Source organism: Homo sapiens, chromosome 7 (genome assembly GCF_000001405.40).
Source record: "Homo sapiens chromosome 7, GRCh38.p14 Primary Assembly".
Lineage (NCBI taxonomy): Eukaryota > Metazoa > Chordata > Mammalia > Primates > Hominidae > Homo > Homo sapiens.
Genome location: NC_000007.14, coordinates 1591974 through 1612335, shown reverse-complemented (window position 1 = coordinate 1612335; position 20362 = coordinate 1591974). Strand labels below are relative to the sequence as shown.

The following is a 20362-nucleotide window of genomic DNA, read 5'->3' as shown; positions in this document are numbered from 1 at the left end:
TGCTGGGATTACAGGCATGCCTGCTCGTCATCTTTAGAGCACCTATCACTATCTGAATTATCTTTATTACTGGTTCCCTTGTTTATGGTCTGCCTCTCCCAGATAGATACAGAACAATGTCTGACACACAGCCCAGTCTTAGTGAACGTGAGATGAATGAATAAACCCCAGCCAGGCAGTTCTAATGGAAGCTGCCGTATGGACTCAGGGTGAGCAACTGACCAAGCCAGGCCATGCACAGTCCTTCCGTGGGGTTTTCCCAGCTGAGGCTAAAGAAAGACGCGCAGATCCCGCCCGGTGGCAGATGGCATGGCATGTGGCTCTGGAGCTCTCTGTCCCCCAGTAACCCCATCCCCACCCCCCAGGAGGAAGAGGCTGCCCGGCCAGAGGTAGATGTGCTGAGAGCAGCAGGGATGAGGCTGGAGACGTCCTGGGATCTCTGAGCCTTCCTTCTGTTGCAAAACCACAGAGTCCTGACTTCTAGGAAATTCCTTTCTTGCCTCAGCAAATTTGAGCCAGGTCTCTGTGACTCATTAGTAAAGGACCCTGATGGGCACAGATGGAACAAGAGGCCAAGGGAAGGGTGGGGCCTCTTTGTTATAAACGAGGTGCAGCTGGGCATTGTGGCTCACGCCTGTAATCCCAGCACTTTGGGAGGCCGAGGTAGGCGGATCGCTTGAGGTCAGGAGTTCAAGACCAGCCTGGCCAACATGGCAAAACCCCACCTCTGCTAAAAATACAAAAATTAGCCAGGCATGGTGGCGGATGCCAATAATCCCAGCTACTTGGGATACTCGGGAGGCTGAGGCAGGAGAATCGCTTGAACCCAGGAGGCGGAGGTTGCAGTGAGCCGAGATCACACCACTGCTCTCCAGCCTGGCAATAGAGCAAGACTCGGTCTCAAAATAAAAAAAAGGCACAAGTGAAATGGTCACTCAGCTGAGACAACAGAGATGGGAGTCTGATCTGCTTTAGGGTTGGATTAGACCAAGCTCTATGGGTCTCTTCCAGCCCCTGTGTATCCCAGGGGCTCCCCCACCTCTGTGGGCCTCTGTTTCTCCCATTATAAAATGATGGGGTAGACGAGATGGCCCCTGAGCCAAGTCTGGTCGAAATGTGGCATCCGAACTGACGCCCAGTAGATTTCTGACCAGTCTAGCCCATCACCCCACTGGAGGAGGGAGACACAGGCTGAGGACCACTGACCAGTCAGCCAGGAGACCTAGGCCCTGGGCACTGCTGGGCCGGTTCAATCCAGCGCCCTGCCTGGCAAAACCCCGCTACGACTCATCAACACGCAGCAACTCCCCCTGCCCCCAGCTCGGCAGCTCCAGTGTGGACAATCGGCAGAGCTGCTCAGGTGGATCTAAGACTCCCCTAATGAGATTCTTGACGATTGGGAAACTAATGATATGCTCAACTCATCTTTAATTGGCACGGTGCTGCTGGAGATGCCAGCGCGGGCGAGACGCGGGGCGGCTTTGACTCAAGCCATCATTATCGCTCCTTGGCGGCACTTGGTCCTCGCCCACCCTCAGAGCCATTGCCCCCGCCGCCCCGCTGCCCCCACCCCCCAGGCTGCGGTCTGCCAGCTGGGCCCTCAGTGGCTCCTTCTGTCTGGCCTGCAGGGGGGCCCCAGGCCTGTCCCCATGCAGATACCCCGCCCTGGGAGGCTGGTCACATTCTTGGGCGCTGAGAGGTCCCTCCCTCCCTCATCATCGGCGTTTCCCTCGCTGGGTGGGCCTCAGCCCTATGGAGGGGTCTCATGAATGGTGCAGGAAGCAGGAGGGGGGTGCTGACCGGTGCATGGGAACCTGCTTTCCTGGAGACCCATCTTAGCTCTTTCCATCCTCAGCTCCTGACCCCTTTCTCAGCCTCATTTTCCCCACGTGCAAAATGCAGATAACGTTAGCCCTTCCCCCGGGGGCTCACGAGTGGGCAGCCCGCACTGTGTGGTCAGACTCATGGGAAGACGAAAGGGTGCGGGAGAGGTCTGATGCCCGCTGCTCGCCACCTCCGGGGGTGTCCAGGCTGGGCACAGCAAGCTCTGTACGACCAGCCAGGGCAACCTGAGTCCAGTGACAGCCCAGTGCGTGGGGTCCACAAGGGAGACCCAGTGCCAGGCCGGCGTGGTGGGAAGAGGAGCTGCAAGTCATGCTGGGAGCCGGGGAAGGCAGACAGTGCCAGGCTGCAGACTCAGCCAAGGTCCAGCCAAGCCTGCTGCGCTGTGGCACCTGAGACACAGGTGCCCACCTTCTCCCCCTTGAAGCTCTCTTCCCGGAGCTCCCCAGCCCCCCGCTTCTCCTCCTGCCTCCTTGACTTCTCTCTCAGCCCCGATTGAGCCAGCCCGCAACTGTGGGGCTCCTAGAGGTTCACTTTGAGGCTCTCTTGCCCTCTCACTCACTCCCCCTCCCTAGGGGAGCTCACCTGTGACCTTACCTCGAATAACCACCCCCATGGATGGTCCCTAAATGTCTCTCTTTGGAGGCCAGCACCTCCAGACGCCCTGCAGGAACCGCTCCCCTTACTCAGTCTCCTACCACAGCGAATGACACCAACTGCCTAACCAGCTGATCAAAGCAGAACCCTGGAAATCATTTCTTTTTTTTCTTTCTTTCTTTCCTTTTATTTTTTTTGTTTTGAGATGGAGTCTCTCTGTGTTGCCCTGCCTGGAGTGCAGTGGCACAATCTCAGCTCACTGAAACCTCAAGCAGTTCTCCTGCCTCAACCTCCAGAATAGCTGGGATTACAGGTGCACGCCACCACACCCGGCTAAGTTTTGTATTTTTAGTAGAGACAGGATTTCACCATGTTGGTCAGGCTGGTCTCGAACTCCTGACCTCAGGTGATCCGCCCGTCTCGGCCTCTCAAAGTGCTGGGATTACAGGCGTGAGCCACCGCGCCCGGCCCTGGAAAGCATTTCTTGATCCCACCTTCTTTCTACATCTGGTCAATCACCAAATCCTGTCTATTTGACCTTCTAGATGTCTCTGGAAGTTCTTCACCAAGCTGTCTCCCCACTGCCCCCTATGCAGGCCCAAGCCTATCCCCGATGCACTGCCTGGACCAGTGGCTGCACAAAGCACGCCAGCCCATCACCTGCCCCAGCATCCCTGGTGCACTGTGGCCAGAGCCGAGCTGCCAGTCATGGAGCCGACCCCTCCCCAGCACGAGACCAGCTGACCCCCGGGCCATGCCGAGCAGCTCGGGCACATGACTCGGTCTTTCCTGGAAATTCTCTCCCAGACAGAATGATTGCTGTCACCCTTTGGGTCACAATGCTGGGAGGATGGGCGTTTAGAACATCTGGTGGCCACTGTCCCCAGCAGCAAGGAGGAAATCCATCCCCAGAAAGAGAGGGACCCAGAGAGGAGATCTCAGTGGTACCCTTGACCAGCCAAACCTGAAGGCCTGCGTTTCCCAGTTCTGTGAGCCGCTAAATTCCCTGCTATTTACTTCATCTTATTGGAGTTGGGCTCTTTCCGCTCATCTACAAGCCCTGAGGGACATGCTCTAAACATCAGCCTCCCCGCTGCAGGAATTAACCCCTTCAATCCAGCCCCTGAATTGGGTGGTCACTGAGATCGTCTAAAGGCCAAGTCTGCCCTCTGGCCCTGCCTGTAATCCCCCTCTCCAAGGCTCCCCAGTGCCCACAAGGTGAGATCCAGATCCCTTGGCGTGACTTCCAAGCCCCATCTGTCTCCAGCTCTCCAGTCGCATTGGTGCCCACTGTCCCCCTCGAGCTGAACACAGGTTCCTGTTGGACGGAAAGACCTGCAGCTCCCCAGGGGTGCTGGCCTTTGAACATGCTGCTCCATCAGCCGGGAACATTTCCACCACATCACACCTGCGAGGCCCAGCTCCCTCCTGGCCACTCCTGTCCAGCCTGCCCTGGGCCCCCAGGATGGGGAGATTATGAGGACTCCCATGCACCCCCAGAGACCCCTGGATCCCCCGTGGGAGGACTCTGCACCCCCAGAGCCCCCTGGATCCCCCGTGGGAGGACTCTGCACCTCTGGAGCCCCCGGGATCCCCCATGGGAGGACTCTGCACCCCCGGGGCCCCCAGGATCCCCCGTGGGAGGACTCTGCACCCCCGGAGCCCCCGGGATCGCCTGTGGTAGGACTCTGCACCCCCAGAGCCACACGGATCGCCTGTGGGAGGACTCATCGCTGCAGGATAAATGCATGCTGACTTCTCGATCTCTCCCCTGGGCTACACCTCTTGGGGGAAGGAACCGCCTTGATCGTGGCACCCTCCACGCCTCGCACACACAGGGGCTCACAGAAAGTTGCTGAACAGTTGGAAGAATTCGGGGCTCCAGAATTCAGCAGCTCCAGGTCCAAGCCTTGGTTCTGCCACTTCCTGGCTCTGCGGCCTTGAGCAAATCGTTGAGCTCCTCCAGGCCCCGCCCAGACCCAGTCCAAACCCTGCCCAACCCCTGCCCAGCCCAACCCTTGCCCAGCCCCAGCCCAGCTCAGGCCCTGGCCAGCACCACCAGCGGCCACACAAGGCCAAGAGCCCCCCGCCCCCACACTGTTGCCTGGAGTCCCTGAGACAGGATGTCTCAGCGGAAGCTATGAGATGCTTTGAGCTCCCCAGGTGCAACTGGAGGCCTTGTTATCATGATTAAGATTTAATTTATCATCAGGGGTGACCACCCAGCTGTCTCTATGCCGCCATTGTTCCAAATTTCCTCCTTTTCTATTTCTGATTCCTTCTCTTTTGTGAGATTGCGCTGACTTTGACCTTAATAAATCTCATTTTATTCTTCTAATTTACTCAGACAAAGTTGGATAGTTTTAATATCATCTGAATTATTAGCCGTTCTGTCGGTTTAATGTTAACTGCAAATTTTGGTCAATGGATTTGCCATTCTGTCCTCCGGATCAGAAATCAACATGCTTTATGGGGGCAGCCCCAGCCGGGGGCCCGGGAGCCCATTCCAGTTCCAGCTGCAAGGGGCTGAACACCACCATTTATGCCTGTCACCCACGTTACCTGTGGCAGGGAGCAAACAACAGTGTATATGTGCGTGTGTGTGTGTGTGACGGGGGCGGAGAGAGAGACACACACACAGAAGAAAGAAAGAGAAAGAAGAAAGAGAAACGAGAGAAAGAGAGGAGAGAGAGAAAGGAGAGGGGAGAGAGAAGAGAGAGGAGAGAGAGAGCGGGGAGAGAGAGGAAAGATGGGGTGGGGGAGAGAGAGAGAGAGGAAAGAGAGAGAGGAGAGAAAGAGGAAAGAGGAGGGAGAGTCTGGCTGCTGACCTCACCTGTATTAGAGGGGCGGGGGGCAACAGGGGAGCTTGGGGGTCACAGATAAGTGAGTGGAGGGAGGACAAGAAGGGGGCGACCTCCAAAGAGGCAGGGAACCAGAAGGTGCCCGGCACGAAGAGGAGGAGGAGGAGGGGTAGGAGGAGGGGGAGGGAGGGGGAAGAACAGGGGGAGGAGGGAGAGGGAGAAGAGGAGGAGGAGGAGGGGAGGAGGGAAGGGGAAGAAGAGGAGGACGAGAGGGAGTGGGAGGGGAGGAGGGAGGGGGAAGAAGAGGGGGAGGAGGGACAGGGAGAGGAGGAAGGAGGGACGGGGAGAGGAGGAAAGAGGGGGAAGAAGAGGAGGAGGAGGGGGAAGGGGAGGGGAGGAGGGAGGGGGAAGAAGAGGGGGAAGGGGAGGGGAGGAGGGAGGGGGAAGAAGACGGGGAAGGGGAGGAGGAGTGGGAGGAGGGGGGGAAGAGTGGGAGGAGAAGGGAAGGGGAGAAGAGGAGGAGGCCGCTGCTGCATCCTCTGACACTGATTCATTTCTGTATCCTCTGACACTGAAGAGAGCTTTCATGGATGGATAAATGAAAGAATGAATGAATTAATGAATTAGGGGATCTGAGGAACTTGGGAGAAGCAGAAACAGAAAAGAGAAAGGGTCACCCTCCAGGGTGACTATTAAAATCAGGGCTGGGCATGGGGGTGGTGGGTACCTGTGGTCCCAGCTACTCTGGAGGCTGAGGCGGGAAGACACTTGAGCCCAGAAGTTCAAGGCTGCAGTGAGCTGTGATCCCACCACTACGCTCCAGCCTGGGCAACAGAGTGAGACCCTCTCCCCAGAAAAACAAAACAAAACAAAGCCATGGACAGAGATGTCTGCCTGAAACTCAGAGTTAAACAGAAATAAGGCAGGAGAGAGTGGCTGTGGCCGACCGGGGGTGGCAGGGGTCTTGAGGAAGCCCCCGCAGAGGCCTTTCCTGTCAGGGCCCCGTGGCTTCCTGGAGGAGGCAGGGCTGCAGGTGCTTAAAAGGAATGTATTATTTTTAATAGCTAACATTTATTGAACATCCAGCATGTCTCAGGCACTATTTTAAATATTCTACAGAAAATAACGGATACTTTTAACAATCTACCTAGGCACTGTGATTTTTCGAACAGCTTTACTAAGATATAATTCATATGCCATGCAACTCACCCACGTAAAGCACACAATTCGACGCTTCTTAGAGTATTCACAGCGTCGTACAACCATCACCACAATCAACTTTAGACCGTTTTCATCACCCCCAAAAACAAACCCCACACACCTTAAGCCATCACTCCCCACTACCCTTCCTCTCAGCCCCTGACAGCCACGCCTCTATTTTGTGTCTCCATGGAATTGCCTATTCTGGGCATTTCACATGAGTGGAATTCTACAGATGTGGTATTTTGTGTCTGGCTTTTTAAACTTAGCATCTGGGCTAGGCACAGTGGCTCACGCCTGTAATCCCAGCACTTTGGGAGGCCGAGGCAGGCGGATCACTTGAGGTCAGGAGTTTGAGACCAGCCTGGCCAACATGGTGGAAACCCCGTCTCTACTAAAATTACAAAAACTAGCCGCGCGTGGTGGCACATACCTGTAATCCCAGCTACTCGGGAGGCTGAGACAGGAGAATCATTTGAACCCAGGAGGTGGAGGTTGCAGTGAGCCGAGATGACGCCACAGCACTCCAGCCTGGGTGACAGAGCGAGACTCCATCTCAAAAAAAAAAAAATAAATAAAATAAAATAATAAACTAAGCCTCTAATATTTTCAGTGTTCATCCATGCTGCAGCCTGTGTGGAACTTCATTCCTTTCTATTGTCGGATAATATTCCATCGTGGCTACACCAGCTCCTGTGTTCACCCAGCCTTCAGCTGAGGGGTGTTGGCGCAATTTCCACTTTTTGGCTATTATGAACAAAGCTGCTGTGATCACTCACATATAAGTTCTTGTGTGGATATATGTAGCCATTTCTCTCGGGTATATTCCCAGGGGTGGAATGACTGGGTCACATGGTATGTCTGTATTTAACCATCTGAGTTGCCTGGTTTTTTGTTTTGTTTTGAGACAGGGTCTCACTCTGTCACCCAGGCAGAAGTGCAGTGGCACGATCTCGGCTCACTGCTGCCTTGATCTCCTGGGCTCAAGCGATCCTCCTGCCTCAGCTTCCCAAGTACCTTGGACTGCAGGAGCGTACCACCACACCTGGCTAATTTTTTTGTATTTTATACAGATGGGGTCTTGCCACGTTGCCCAGGCTTGAACTGCCTGTTTTTAAAGGAGTTTATTTTAAAGATAAAAGAAAGGGAATTAAAGAGCAGTACTCGAGGGCAAAGTCCACATCTATTGGCCCCAGGAAAAGAGAGATTTTTTTTCTCATTCATTTCTGTGTCCTCTGACACTGAAGAGACCTTTCATTCATGGAAGGATGAATGAATGAATGAATGAATGAATGAATGAATGAATGAGGGGATCTGAGGGACTTGGGAGAAGCAGAAACAGAAAAGAGAAAGGAGAAGTTCAGTTTTTTCCAGTCTTGAAGCTGAGCGCTGGCTTGGACTGGGACCCTGAGACCTGCCTGCCCAGGAGGGCTTCCAGAGGAGCCCCCCAGGAGTGGCTGTGGGCTCCCCCTGGCCCCTGGGCCTGGACCTCCCTCTCACCCACCTCAGGGCCTCGGCTCTGCTCCGGGAGGTGGTAGCTCAGCACTGCAGCCTTCGCCACTAAGTCATGCTTTTCCAGTCTCTCTCTTGAACAACATCTCCCAAAAAGTGTGATTTTTCGCTCCATGCTGTCTGACACAGCAGTAACAGCCCGTTAAGCAAAATAATGAGAGGAATAAAATCCGCTGAGACGCGGGACCTCCAGACCCACCCGGCACACAAATCTTGAGGTTATAGAGCCCGCGGTCTACAGGCTTTCAGAGGATCAAAGTGCCGGGTGGGAGACATCAGGCCGGGCGAGCGGGCGGCCCGGGGTGGCCCTGTCCCTGCAGCCTGGAGCTCCGAGCAGCGTCCCTGGCAGCACCTGCTGCAGCCGTGACGGGGGCCGTCTTCCGTCTCTGAGCGGCGGGAGCCTCCTGGTAGCCTCCCGGGCTGCATTTTTGCAATCTGGGGTTCTGAGCCCCGTGCACCTGCCCTGAAGTGTTACAGAAATGGCCCCGGTCAAGCCTGGGACTCTCTCCAGCCCAGGCCGGGCTTCCTGAACTCCTCGGCCCACCGCAGAGACCCAGCTGCCTCTCTGGCCTCCCTTGCCTGTGTCCTGAGGACCTGGGCCTGCCTAAAGCCCCCAGCCCTGCTCCCCACCCCTCTCCCGGCCTGAATCCCACCCAAGAGCTCACCCTCTCCTCAGACCTGCTGGGGGACTCTCAGTCTCTATGGGGGCTGTGTGGCAGGCGGGGCCCACAAACCACTGCCACAACGCCCCCTGTACCACCACTCTCCCAACACCTTCCCCACCAGGAGGCAGGATCTTCCACGCCCCCTCCTCAACCCAGACAGGCCTTCGAGAGGGTCTCGATGGAGAGAGTAAGACCAAAGAGACATCGCACCAGCCTCCCAGGGTTGCCGGAACAAACGCCACACACCAAGCGACGCCGGCCATGGGCATTCATCCCTCACAGTCCTGGAGGCTGAAGTCCGAGACCAAGGCGTGGGCAGGGCTGGTTCCTACTGAGGCCTGTCTCCTTGGTTTGCAGACGCTGTCTTCCTCCTGGGTCCTCACAGGGTCGTGCCTCTGTGTGTGTGTGTGTCCTGATCTCCTCTTCATATAAGAACACCTGTCAGATTGGATTAGGGCCCACCCCTATAACTTCACTGGACTTTTGTTTTTGAGACAGGGTCTTGCTCTGTCACCCAGGCTGGAGTGCAGTGGCACCATCACGGCTTACTGCAGTCTTGAATTCCTAGGCTCAAGCAATCCTCCCACCTCAGCCTCCCAAGCAACTGGGACCACGGGCGCAACAACATGCCCAGCTAATTTTTCTTTTTTTTTTCAGTAGAGATGAGGTCTTGCTATGCTGCCCAGGCTGGTCTCAAACTCCTGGGCTCCAGCGATTTTCCCACCATGGCCTCCCAAAGGGCTGGGATTACAGGCATCAGCCACTGTGACCACTGTTTTTTTGTTTTTTTCTTTTCTTGTAGAGATGGGGTCTTGCTCTGTCCAGCCCAGGCTGGTCTCGAACTCCTGGGCTCAAGTGATCCTCTCGCCTTGGCCTCCCCAAAATGTCTGGATCACAGGCGTGAGCTGCCACACCCAGTCTCCTCATTTTACTGTCACCCTCTCTTTCAAGGCCCGGGCTCCAAATACCATCCCATTCTGAGGCCCTGTGGGTTAAGACTTCAACATATGAATTTAGGGGGACAAAATTTAACCCATAACGGATGCCATCTGACCTCCAAGGCTGGGTCCTCAAAGCGAACACACTTGCCCCCGGAGCCCAGGTGCGGGGCCGCGGGGGTCCCAGGCCACGTGGACAGGAACCAGGGCCTCTGGTCCTCGGCGCTGGCTGAAATTCCAGCCGAGACCCAGACCCATTTTCCAGCAGCCCTATGAGGTGCGGACGCCATCATTCCCATTCCACAGAGGAGAAGACAGAGGCCCAGAGAGGACAGGTCGCTGGCACCTTCCAGAGAAGGGCACGTGGGGGATCTGAATACTCACACACCTTAACTGCCCTCGGTCCAAGCTCTTCATCATGATACTTCAGCCTGGGCCGTCATCCCTGATCCGAGGCTGCACCTGGAATGACCGAGGCCTCACCTGGAAGGCACGGCCCCAGCAGCCGGTAAACATCCTCAAGGAGCGGCGGGAAGCAAGGACAAAAGGCACCGAAATGGCACAGACAACAAGAGCCCCGGGCGACGGGCTCGGTCCTGCCTGGTCTGCTGACCTGCCCGCCTGGCGGTGAGAAGACTGGGACCCAGACAGAGGCCGGTGCGTCCGGGCTGACCCAGATGGCCCCACAGTGCGGAGGTGCATCCCGAGGACGTTGAAGAATCTTGGCACCGGGAGGGCTGAGGCTGGAGGAGGAGTTAAGTCCCAGGACCCCCACCCCGACGGGACCCTCCTGGGTCTGGTAGCAGGCGGGTGACACAGGGGGGCTCTGGGTGTGTGCCCACCCTGCTTCTCTTCATCTGCTTCTTACTTCACTCTTCCCTCCTGGCTGCCTCCCTGACCCCTTCTCTCCTTCTCCACTTTTTTTATTTTTTTTTTTAAGATGGAGTCTCCCTCTGTCTTGCTCTGTCATATGAGGAGACCGGGTGTGGCAACTCATGCCTGTGATCCAGACACTTTGGGAGGCCAAGGCGAGAGGATCACTTGAGCCCAGGAGTTCGAGACCAGCCTGGGCTGGACAGAGCAAGACCCCATCTCTACAAGAGAAGAAAAAACCAAAGAAACACTGGTCACAGTGGCTCTGTCACCCAGGCTGGAGTGCAGTGGCGCGATCTCAGTTCACTGCAGCCTCTGCCTCCCGGGTTTAAGCGATTCTCCTGTCTCAGCCTCCCAAGTAGCTAGGATTACAGGTGCCCACCACCACGCCTGGCTAAGTTTTGTATTTTTAGTAGAGACATGATTTCACTATATTGGCTAGGCTGGTCTCAAACTGCTGACCTCAGGTGATCTGCCCGCCTCAGCCTCCCAAAGTGGTGGGATCACAGGCGTGAGCCACCACACCCGGCCCCTTCTCTCCTTTCTCTGAAAACCAGACTTTAGATTTCCCACATCCGGTGGGAAATAAAGCTACCCCATGGCCACCAGCAGGGACAAACCCACTGTCCCCAATTCCCCCAAATAACTGAGAAAGAGGATCTGACTGTTTCAGCTTCAGCCCTGGTGTACGGGGCAAGTTTTCCCTGGGTAGCAGCTGAGCCCCACCCTGGACTGGCAGGTTCATCCTAAAACCGCCAGCTCCCAACACCGCCAACTCCATTGCACCCACCGGATTTAACCCCCTGCGGGCTGCTTCTCCTGCCCTATCCCCCACAGCGCTGGCCACAGCACCCCACAAACAGAGCCTGCTCCCCGACACCCAGGCGGGATGACAGGTACCTCAGAAGCTCTGCATGAACGTGACCTTCCCCGCCTTGCTGGGTACAGCACCCAGAAGTGGAAAAGTGATAGGAATCTTGGCTGGTCCACCAGGAAAAGGAACATGGTGTTGGTCCCAAGGCCTCCACTTTAGAGACACTGGAAAACCAGACCATTCCCAGGGACCAAGGTGGGCTGGACCCAGACATCAGCACACATATGCGTGCTTAAGGAATCAGAGGTGGTCAGCAGCAGATGAGAGAGCCACTTCCTTGAGGACAAGGAACGGGCATTATTTTGTGTGTCTTCAGAGGGCAGAACAGAATCAGCAAAAGCAGATTTGACCAAACCCAACCAACATTAGACTTTGCCACTCCTAGAGGTAGTGAGCTCTCTGTCACTGGAGGTATTCAAACAGAGACAGGACAGCTATGGGTCAGGGACATCGCACAAGGTGAGTGTTTGGCCTTCAGGCTCCCTCGGGTTCTTCTCTGATTGCTGCCATCCTGGGCTGGCTCTAGGGAGAGAGCGTGCAGTCCTCTCTGTCTAAAAATGAACTCTTGCTTCTCATCATTTCTGTCATGTTGCGCCCGACAGTAACAGCTGTTAAGAAATCACATTTGTACCTTTTCAGGAGCTCTCTTGAACTTGGAGTGCAAATTAACTTCATGTGATCTGAAATATAAAAGGTCGCTTCTCCCACAAATTAAAAATCCAGGAGATGCTTGCCAAGCTCACGAGCAGATCAGGTTCTGCGGGGACGTGAGCCACGGAGGACTCGGCGGCCACCCCGCTGCCCTATGCACGGGGACGGCTCCTGCTGCCCTCGCTCAAGGCCATCCACTCTGGTCACAATGTCCCCAGCTGCGGCCTCTTCGACCTTCTCCGCCAGCATTCAGGGGGATTCTGTCCTCCATTTGAGCTCTCTGGGCTTCCAAACACCCTGAACACCCAGGACCCTGAGGGGCTTGTCTTCCTGGCTTCCTGCCAGAGACCCTCATGTCGCAAACAGGCGGGCATCGCCCAGGGCCTCCACTCTCCCCCGCCTCACCAGGGAGGCCCTGCCAGGCCCTGTTCTCCCCAGTCACAGGCGTCCCAGCACCCAGCCCCTCGGACCACAGCCCCGAAGGTGCGGGAAGCTCTGGCTTCTCCCTGTTCCTGCCCCATAACTCCCTGCTGATAGTCCCAGCCACCAGGACCGGGCTCCCCGCTCCTGTACCTCCTCCCAGTTCTCTCGGGTCCACACTGGTCACAAGTCCCACACATCTGGGGTGTTGTCACCCGGGCCTGGCCCTGGGGAAGCTAAATGGGAGCTGAAGTCGTTGACAAGGACACAGCCCAGAGAGGCCAAGTGACTTCCGCATGGCTGCACAGCCCCTTCGAGGCCTCGCCTGCTGGGAGCCACCTCTCCTCGGACCCCACACAGCCTCAAGCACCACCGCAGCTGAGCCTCTGAATCCCAGTTCCAGAGTGACCTCCCCACCAAGTCTGGTTCTCCAAAACCCTCCCACTGTCGCTCCAGGGATGGGCTGGGCCTCACAACAGCCACCCCTCCTACCCGCCTGATCAGCATTTTCAGAAGCCCACGCCCACAGATGCTGCCTCCCACCACCCCGCCCACCCATGGAACCCCACAGACCTTGCTCCCACCACAAACTGTGGCCATCACAGGTGGGGTGGTGTCCACCAGAGCCCCTCTCTGGGGTTCTGCATCAGCACAGCCCCACCCCCCACCCTTTCTCCTGTGCAAGACCCTTGGCCTGGGAATTCCACTCAGCCCAGGACACTCCTGTCTTGCTGCCAACCAGAAGTCTGACCCGCCTGGCAGGGCAGCCCACCCCCTGCACACCTGCCAGGTCAGGCTCAGCCTGGAGGGCTCCAACCTGGCCCAGTCACGCCCCCGGGGGCCTGCGCACCACTGGCCTTCTGAGTCTCTGAAGGCTGCACACCCCGTCCACACACCTGTGCACACACATGTCTATTCACTGTGTCCCCACCCAAATCTCATTTTGAGCTGTAGTTCCCCACCCAAATCTCAGTTTGAGCTGTAGTTCCCATAATCCCTACGTACCATGGGAGGGACCCAGTGGGAGGTAATTGAATCATGGGGGCGATTACCTGCATGCTGTTCTCGTGATAGTGAGTGAGTTCTCAAGTGATCTGATAGTCTGATAGTTTTCCCTGCTTCACGCTGCACTTCTGCACTTCTCCTTGCTGCTGCCATGTGAAGAAGGACGTGTTTGCTTCCCCTTCCGCCATGACTGTAGTTTTCTGAGGCCTCCCCAGCCATGCTGAACTGTGAGCCAGTTAAACTTCTTTCCTTTATAAATGACCCAGTATTGGGTATGTCTTTATCAGCAGCATGAGAACAAACTAATACACCTGTCCACACACACCTGTGCACATGCCTGTCCACACACACACACCTGTCCACACCCCTGTGCACACGTCTGTCCACATATTTGTCCACACACCTGTGCACCTGCTGCCTCCCTCTGACACATCTTCCCTCTGCAGCCGACACCCACTGAGCCTGCCCTGGCCAGTCCTGCAGAAGGCCAGCAGCCCGGCTACCCACTTTCCAAAAGCTGCTTATCTGACATCACAGCTCCCACAGGGGAGAGAAACCCGGCGAACATAATGAATCCAGAGAAGCTTCATCATTAGTTCAACCTTTCAGCTGAGGCCGTGTTTACACCAGAGAGCAGGCCTGGAAGGCAATCGTGGGTGGGAAGCTTCTCTCAGATTTTGGGGAAAATTACAGGCACGAAGATGCGCCGGAGGCCTGGAGACCTCGTAATTGATACAGAAGGGCGGCCCAGAGGGAGCAGGGGCTGGCTCAGGGTCACACAGCGCATGCCCCGCACTGGCCTCTGCACCAGCCTCCATCTCCTTAATGACCCCCGCAAGGAGGCATCAGAACTCAGCAGGTGCAGCCCCTCAAGGTTGGTAAATACTTTTATGTTTTTGAAAAGTGTAATTTAAAAACTCAGTGTGACATCCTATCCAGCCACGGGCCTCAGGATACACTTAACCCTCCTGCTGGCCCTTCTGCCCAGCTGAGCCTGGGATCCCACCCGTGAGCCGGGGACTGTCACGACCCACACTCGATCCCCTCCATACGTCCCATGGCCTCCCGCGGCATCTCCCCTTCTTCCTCCATCACTGCTCCATTTTCCCAAAGGCCCCAGGAGTTCTGGTTTCTCCATTTTCCTCTCAATGAAGTGTGAGAGGCCCTGCCCCCCACAGACCCCCTGGAAGCTCTGAGGATCATCCTCTCTTCCCTGTGCCCACATCCAGGCCCCTGCAAACCCCACAGCAGCTGCCAGCTGCACCCTGAACACAGCCAACCCCGTGCCAGGGGCCAGAGGCCTTACGGAGCCTCGCCCCGCCACCTTGGCTCCTTCGTCTCATACCGTGAGCCTCCTGGCTCACCACCGAGATCACGTGCTGCCTGCCATGGGGTGAACGGGGACCCCAAAAAGAGCTACCCAAGCGCTGACCCCTGGGACCTGTGCATGGGACCTTTCACCCTGTGAATTGGTCTTAGGGAATGGAATTGATTAAAGACATCAAGATGAGGTCATCCTGGATTCAGGATGGGCCCCAAATCCAATGACAGATGTCCTTGTAAGAACAGAGAAGGACACAGAGACACAGAGGCCATGTGACGAGGGCCGTGGGATGACAGCAACAGAGATTGCAGCGGTGTGTCAGCCATGAGCTGTTGGCAGCTGCCAGAAGCAGGAGAAGGGCCTGGAATAAATTCTCCGCTGCCAGGACCCTCAAGAAGGAACCAGCCCTGCTGACTCCGACTCCTTGGTTCCCTCCTGACCTGTGGGATGGTAACTTTCTGTGGTTTTAAGTCCCACAGTTTGCAATAACTCATCATGGCAGTTGGCAGTTGAAGGAAGCTGCCTCTCTTTCAGTCCCTAAAACATTTGAGTCCTTTTCTGCCTCCGAGCCTTTACATACACTGTTCCCTCCGCCCAGAATGCTTTTCCCTCGACCTCCACCTGCCTGCCTTCTGCTCGGCACTCAAGCCTCAACCGAAACATCACCTCCTCAGATGCTCCTCCTCGAACCACCCGCCCAGGCACGATTGCGCCCCTCCACGTTGGTACCGTCGTGGCGCTGATTGCCGGAAATGGGCTCACGCATTGACTGGTGCGCTCCTCTTCCCATCTGTCCACACCCCCGGATGCGGCCATCAGCTGTCTTGGCCCCCGAGGTGACCCAGCGTGGACACGGCACCTGGCACAGGGTACCTGGTTGGTAAACGAGCATAGAGTCAGTGACTCAAGCAGAAAGACCACGGGGAGAATAATTTGCAGGCCTGGGGGAAGAAAAAGCAGCGTGGACCCTGGGAACCACGTGTTTCGCCTGCGTACACTGTTGCCATTCTCTGCAATGGCAGGAGAGAGGCTATTGGGTTTTAAATCTCCAGGAAGCTGATAAATGCATTTGACTCCCAGCGCCTCATAGGTGGAGTACACCCCCACCCACACACAGCCATTAGAGCCCTGGGGATAGGGCACGGAGCCTGGAACACGTCGGACCCCACTAACGCCAGGCCATCACTCCATCTCCCTAAATATCTGATTTCTGTCATGCGGGGCTGTAAACTGTCCCCACGCACACGGCACCCAAGATTGTATCAGGGGCTGAGTGGCCTCTGCTCCTCCAGGAGCTTGTAGATAAACACGGCTGTTTCTCTCTTGGCTGACACGGGAGGGGAATGTCGCAGCCATGAGGCATTGAGAGGTTAAAATGTTTAATTAATTTTTCCTGACCGGTCTTTGCAGGGCCCCTTTGCAGACGAAAGGCACTGTGGCCCCCAAGGTGTGGCTTCGCTAATGGAGTCAGAATCTGTACAATGGGTTAAAAATGCACAAATAAATCCCCAGCTCCTAAGGGTTGGCCTGGAAAACTAGAGAGATGGCTCCCTGTTGAGTGAGGAGGTGAAATTGAGGAATTGGAATATGATTTGGGGAGAGGGGTTTATCTTGATCTCTGCACCCTCCCTCCCCCGACTTGTTTTCCGGGCTCTATCCTGGAAGGAGCCGGGGGTGTGGGCAGCGGCGGGTGAGGGAAGGGACGAGGGGATCGTGAGGTGAGGGGTGCTCACGATCCCACCCCACCCCATGCCCGTGCCACAGCCAGTCCCAGGACTCTGGTGCACTGGAGGTGCTTGTGAAACAGCTCCAGAATGAACGTTCAGGTCCCTATCTCACCCTCGCCCCTGCCCCACCCTCTCCAGACTTGACATGGGCAGGACTGGCCTCTTCTCCATCCCATGGCCAGCTTGGCCCCTGCTGCAGCCCCAGCCCAAACATCTCTTCATCAGAAACCACCCAGGCCCCCGGATTCCAATTCATCCCAGCTGGTCTCTCCAGATTCTCAGCATTCATGTACACAGAAATACAGGCATGTTCGTTTCTTGTTTTCTTTCTCTTCTACTAAACAGGGAGCTCCGTGGAGGCAGTGGCCTTTCTAGTCCTGTTCACTGCCGTATCTCCAGAGCTGACAGAGCTCCTACAGTCCTAGACAAGCAAGGACTGCTTGGATGAGTGGGAGGGTGGATGGCTGGGAGGATGGATGGAGGGAGGATGGATGTGAGGGTGAATGGATGGGAGGATGGATAGACGGATGGATGGGAGGGTGGATGGGTGGGAGAAGGGATGGGTGGATGGATGGATGGATAGGAGGATGGATGGATAGAAGGGAGGGTGGATAGACGGGAGGATAAATGGATGGATGGATGGATGGATGCATGGATGCATGGATGGATGAATGCATGAGTGGATGGGAGGGATGGATGGGAGGATGAATAGATAGATGGATGGGAGGGTGGATGGATGGGAGGATGGATAGATGGATGGACGGGAAGGTGGATGGATAGGAGGATGGATAGATGGATGGATGGGAAAGTGGATGGATAGGAGGATGGATGGAGGGATGGACAGGAGGATGGATGGAAGGATGGATGGGAGGATGGATAGATGGATGAACGGGAGGGTGGATGGATGGGAGGATGGATGGATGGATGGATGGATGGATGGATGGACGGACGGGAGGATGGATAGATGGATGGACGGGAGGGTGGATGGATGGCAAGATGGATAGATGGATCGATGGGAGGATGGATGGGTGGGAGGGTGGATGGATGGGAGAATGGATGGATGGATGGGAGGATGGATGGGTGGGAGGGTGGATGGATGGGAGAATGGATGGATGGATGGGAGGATGGATGGATAGAAGGGAGGGTGGATAGATAGGAGGATGGATGGATGGATGGATGGATGGATGCATGGATGGATGGGAGGGTGGATGTAGGGAGGATGGATGGATGGATGGATGGAAGAGTGGATGGATGGGAGAATGGATGGATGAATGGGAGGGCGAATGGATGGCAGGGTGGAAGGATGGAAGGATGGATGGATGGATGGATGGATGGATGGATGCATGGATGGATGCATGGATGGATGGGAGGGTGGATGGATGGGAGGGTGGATGGATGGGAGGGTGGATGGATAAATGGATGGATGGATAGATGCATGGATGGATGGATGGATGCATGCATGAATGGATGGGAGGGTGGATGGATGGGAGGGTGGATGGATAAATGGATGGATGGATAGATGCATGGATGGATGGATGCATGCATGGATGGATGGGAGGGTGGATGGATGGGAGGGCGGATGGGAGGATGGATAAATGGGAGAGTGGGTGGATAGGAGGGTGGACGAATGGGAGGATGGATGAATGGGAGGATGGAGGGATAGAAGGGACAGTGGATGGATGGATGCACGGATGGATGAATAGATAAATGGATGAATGGGAAGGTGGATGCATGGATGGATGGATGGATGGATGGATGGATGGATAGATGGGAGGGTGGATGGATAGGAGGATGGATGGAGGAGGGAGGGAGGGAGAGATGGAAAGAGGGAGGATAGATGGAGGGAGGGAGGCATAGAGGAGAGAGGGATGGAGGGAGGAGGGAAAGAAGAAGGAGGAGGGAGAAAAAAGGGGGGAAGAAGGGGGAAGAAAAGGGGCAGGAAGCAGGGAAGGAGGGAGGAAGGAGGGCAGACTAGCGCCCTTGGCCTGGGGCTGTGTCCCTCTGGGGTGGTGACCTTGGGACCATCTCGGAAAGGCAGAGAACCTGGGGCACTATCAGCAGAGGTGCTTCTGGGCTTGGGGGTCTCCTGCGGGGGCTCCAGTCCACCCTGCCTGGATAGCAGCTTCCCAAGGGCCCAAGGTGCCAGGGCTGGGCTCTGGCTTCTCTCCCCATGTTCAGAGGCCTCCTTCCTTCCCCTTGGCCAGCAGGGGGCTCACAAGGAGGTCCTGCAGGCGTCCTGCTAACTCCCTGCCCAGCCTCTGTGAGCACCGCCCTGAGGCAAGGTGGGTCTGGCTGCCCCGAGGCCTGGGGGCCGCCCGGCCTGGTCACACACAGGCATCCTGCACTCAATCTGCCCCAAGCCTCCCTCCCCCCAGCCTTTGTCCCATGCCATGCCCCCTGCCAGGGATGCCCTCCCCAATGCTACTGTCCACTTGGACCCCCAGGGAGAGTCTCTCCTCTGTACCCACACCAAATCACAGGAATACAGCCTGATCTGGGACCGGGCATGTTCTAGCTTGTGTGATAGCTTCCTATTCACACCTTTTATCCTCCAAACCTAATTGAAATCCCAGAGACCCAGATTGTCATCTCACAGCCACCGTCGTCACCGTCCGGGTGCCCTGGGGCCCGTCGCCTTCTGAGCCTTGGTTTTCTGGGGTTACGATGGAGACTGCGGGGGTGTGCGAAGCTTCAGAGTACAGTAACCAGGTGTCACAGAGGTGCACGGAGCACGGGACATGCTGAAAGGGGCTGGTTGCCCTCTTCTTCCTGGGAAAGGGCTCTGAGCCTCAGATTCCAGACCCCTGGAAAGGACGGACAAAAAGGTGAGAGCACAGCTGCCTCGGTCTTGCTGTTTCCAGGTAAACAGTTCTATGGACTCGATGGAGGAGCCTGGCTCCCCCCTACCCATACATGGTCTCCGAAGATGTTCCCGGACAAGGCACTCCCCAGCCGCCCCCTCTCCACGCCCCCACCTGCTACGTCCTGTCCTCTGAACAACAGAAGCAGGGGAGGACGAGGCGTTTGAGGAGTTCAGGGAGTTGGAAGAGAGTTAGCAGATTTCTGAGAACCCCAGGTGCAGCTTAACCTACAAATGGAAAATTATGGTGATGAGAAAGAGGATCTTTGATGAGGCAGAGTCTTGGGGGAATCGGATTTTGGCTGACGTGCAAGAAAAAGGCAGGCTGGGCGGGGAGGCAGGAAGAGGCAGGTGTCCCTGCAGGGAAAGGGGGCGGTGGAGGTGGGAAGCGTGTCCTGAGCGGATGTGGGTGGGGGCGAACAACGGGAGGTGCCCCCCAAGGCCTCGGGGACCCCATTTCCTGCACTGCCAGCTGCCAGCCCTGGGGACCACTGAAGAGAGCTTGGACCCGCCTGGCTGGCTGTTTACGTCTCACCCATCATGCATTAAGCATGCACCTGCTGGGTGCCCCCAGTGACTCCTGGTGCCACCGAGGTACTTCCATAGAGTGCGTGTCTGTCCCCACACCCCCGCAGAGTGGGCTGCTCCTGCCCGCCCGGCCCCACCACCCACTCCCACTGTTGCATGGCCTCTTGTAGCTAGACGCCAGCTGGCCGGTCTCTGGGTGGGCCGCCACGGCTCTTCCCATCCTTCGCGCCCCATTTTTCCTGCCCAGTCATGAGTAGAGTGGATTTCCATCCCCGGAGGGCTGGGCCAGCCATGCTTCCTGTCGGCCGGTGGCATGCAGTGAGGACGTCCCACCTTCGGAAGCATGACCTCAGGAAGTCCCCAGTTTCTGCTGAGATCCTGAGATGCCCAAGAAGGAAACCAGTCCAGCCTCCCGCAGGCAGAGCCCTGTGAGGGGCCGCGGCGCCTCGGACCACCAGCTGGATGCTGCGGGGAGGGGAACTCCCCACCACCCGCCAACCCACAGCCGTCTGACTGATGTGGGCTCCCGGCGAGGGAGGCTGCAG

The 20362-nt window shown here is 56.5% G+C and overlaps 1 long non-coding RNA gene across 1 annotated transcript, besides 4 other annotated features; it reads right to left on the bottom strand.

Annotated features, from left to right (window-relative positions):
• Nucleotides 2721-3252: an enhancer, noted in NCBI's record as "H3K4me1 hESC enhancer chr7:1648720-1649251 (GRCh37/hg19 assembly coordinates)". NCBI's record gives its function as "activates a minimal SCP1, AML or CMV promoter by ChIP-STARR-seq in primed H9 embryonic stem cells {active_cell/tissue: H9 hESC(primed)}" and the evidence as "EXISTENCE:reporter gene assay evidence [ECO:0000049][PMID:30033119]".
• Nucleotides 3253-3785: an enhancer, noted in NCBI's record as "H3K4me1 hESC enhancer chr7:1648187-1648719 (GRCh37/hg19 assembly coordinates)". NCBI's record gives its function as "activates a minimal SCP1, AML or CMV promoter by ChIP-STARR-seq in naive H9 embryonic stem cells {active_cell/tissue: H9 hESC(naive)}" and the evidence as "EXISTENCE:reporter gene assay evidence [ECO:0000049][PMID:30033119]".
• Nucleotides 3786-4317: an enhancer, noted in NCBI's record as "H3K4me1 hESC enhancer chr7:1647655-1648186 (GRCh37/hg19 assembly coordinates)". NCBI's record gives its function as "activates a minimal SCP1, AML or CMV promoter by ChIP-STARR-seq in naive H9 embryonic stem cells {active_cell/tissue: H9 hESC(naive)}" and the evidence as "EXISTENCE:reporter gene assay evidence [ECO:0000049][PMID:30033119]".
• On the bottom strand, nucleotides 7546-19897 carry LOC105375123 (uncharacterized). Its single transcript, XR_001745048.2, has 8 exons — nucleotides 19405-19897; nucleotides 19024-19233; nucleotides 15432-15575; nucleotides 13426-13627; nucleotides 10169-11910; nucleotides 9944-10038; nucleotides 8828-9055; nucleotides 7546-8415 (listed from the first exon to the last, which is right to left on the bottom strand). It is a non-coding gene; the product is annotated as an uncharacterized LOC105375123 (long non-coding RNA).
• Nucleotides 18547-18596: an enhancer, noted in NCBI's record as "active region_25498". NCBI's record gives its function as "activates an Ori minimal core promoter by ATAC-STARR-seq in GM12878 lymphoblastoid cells {active_cell/tissue: GM12878}" and the evidence as "EXISTENCE:reporter gene assay evidence [ECO:0000049][PMID:35858748]".
• Nucleotides 19898-20362: the final 465 nt, after the last annotated feature.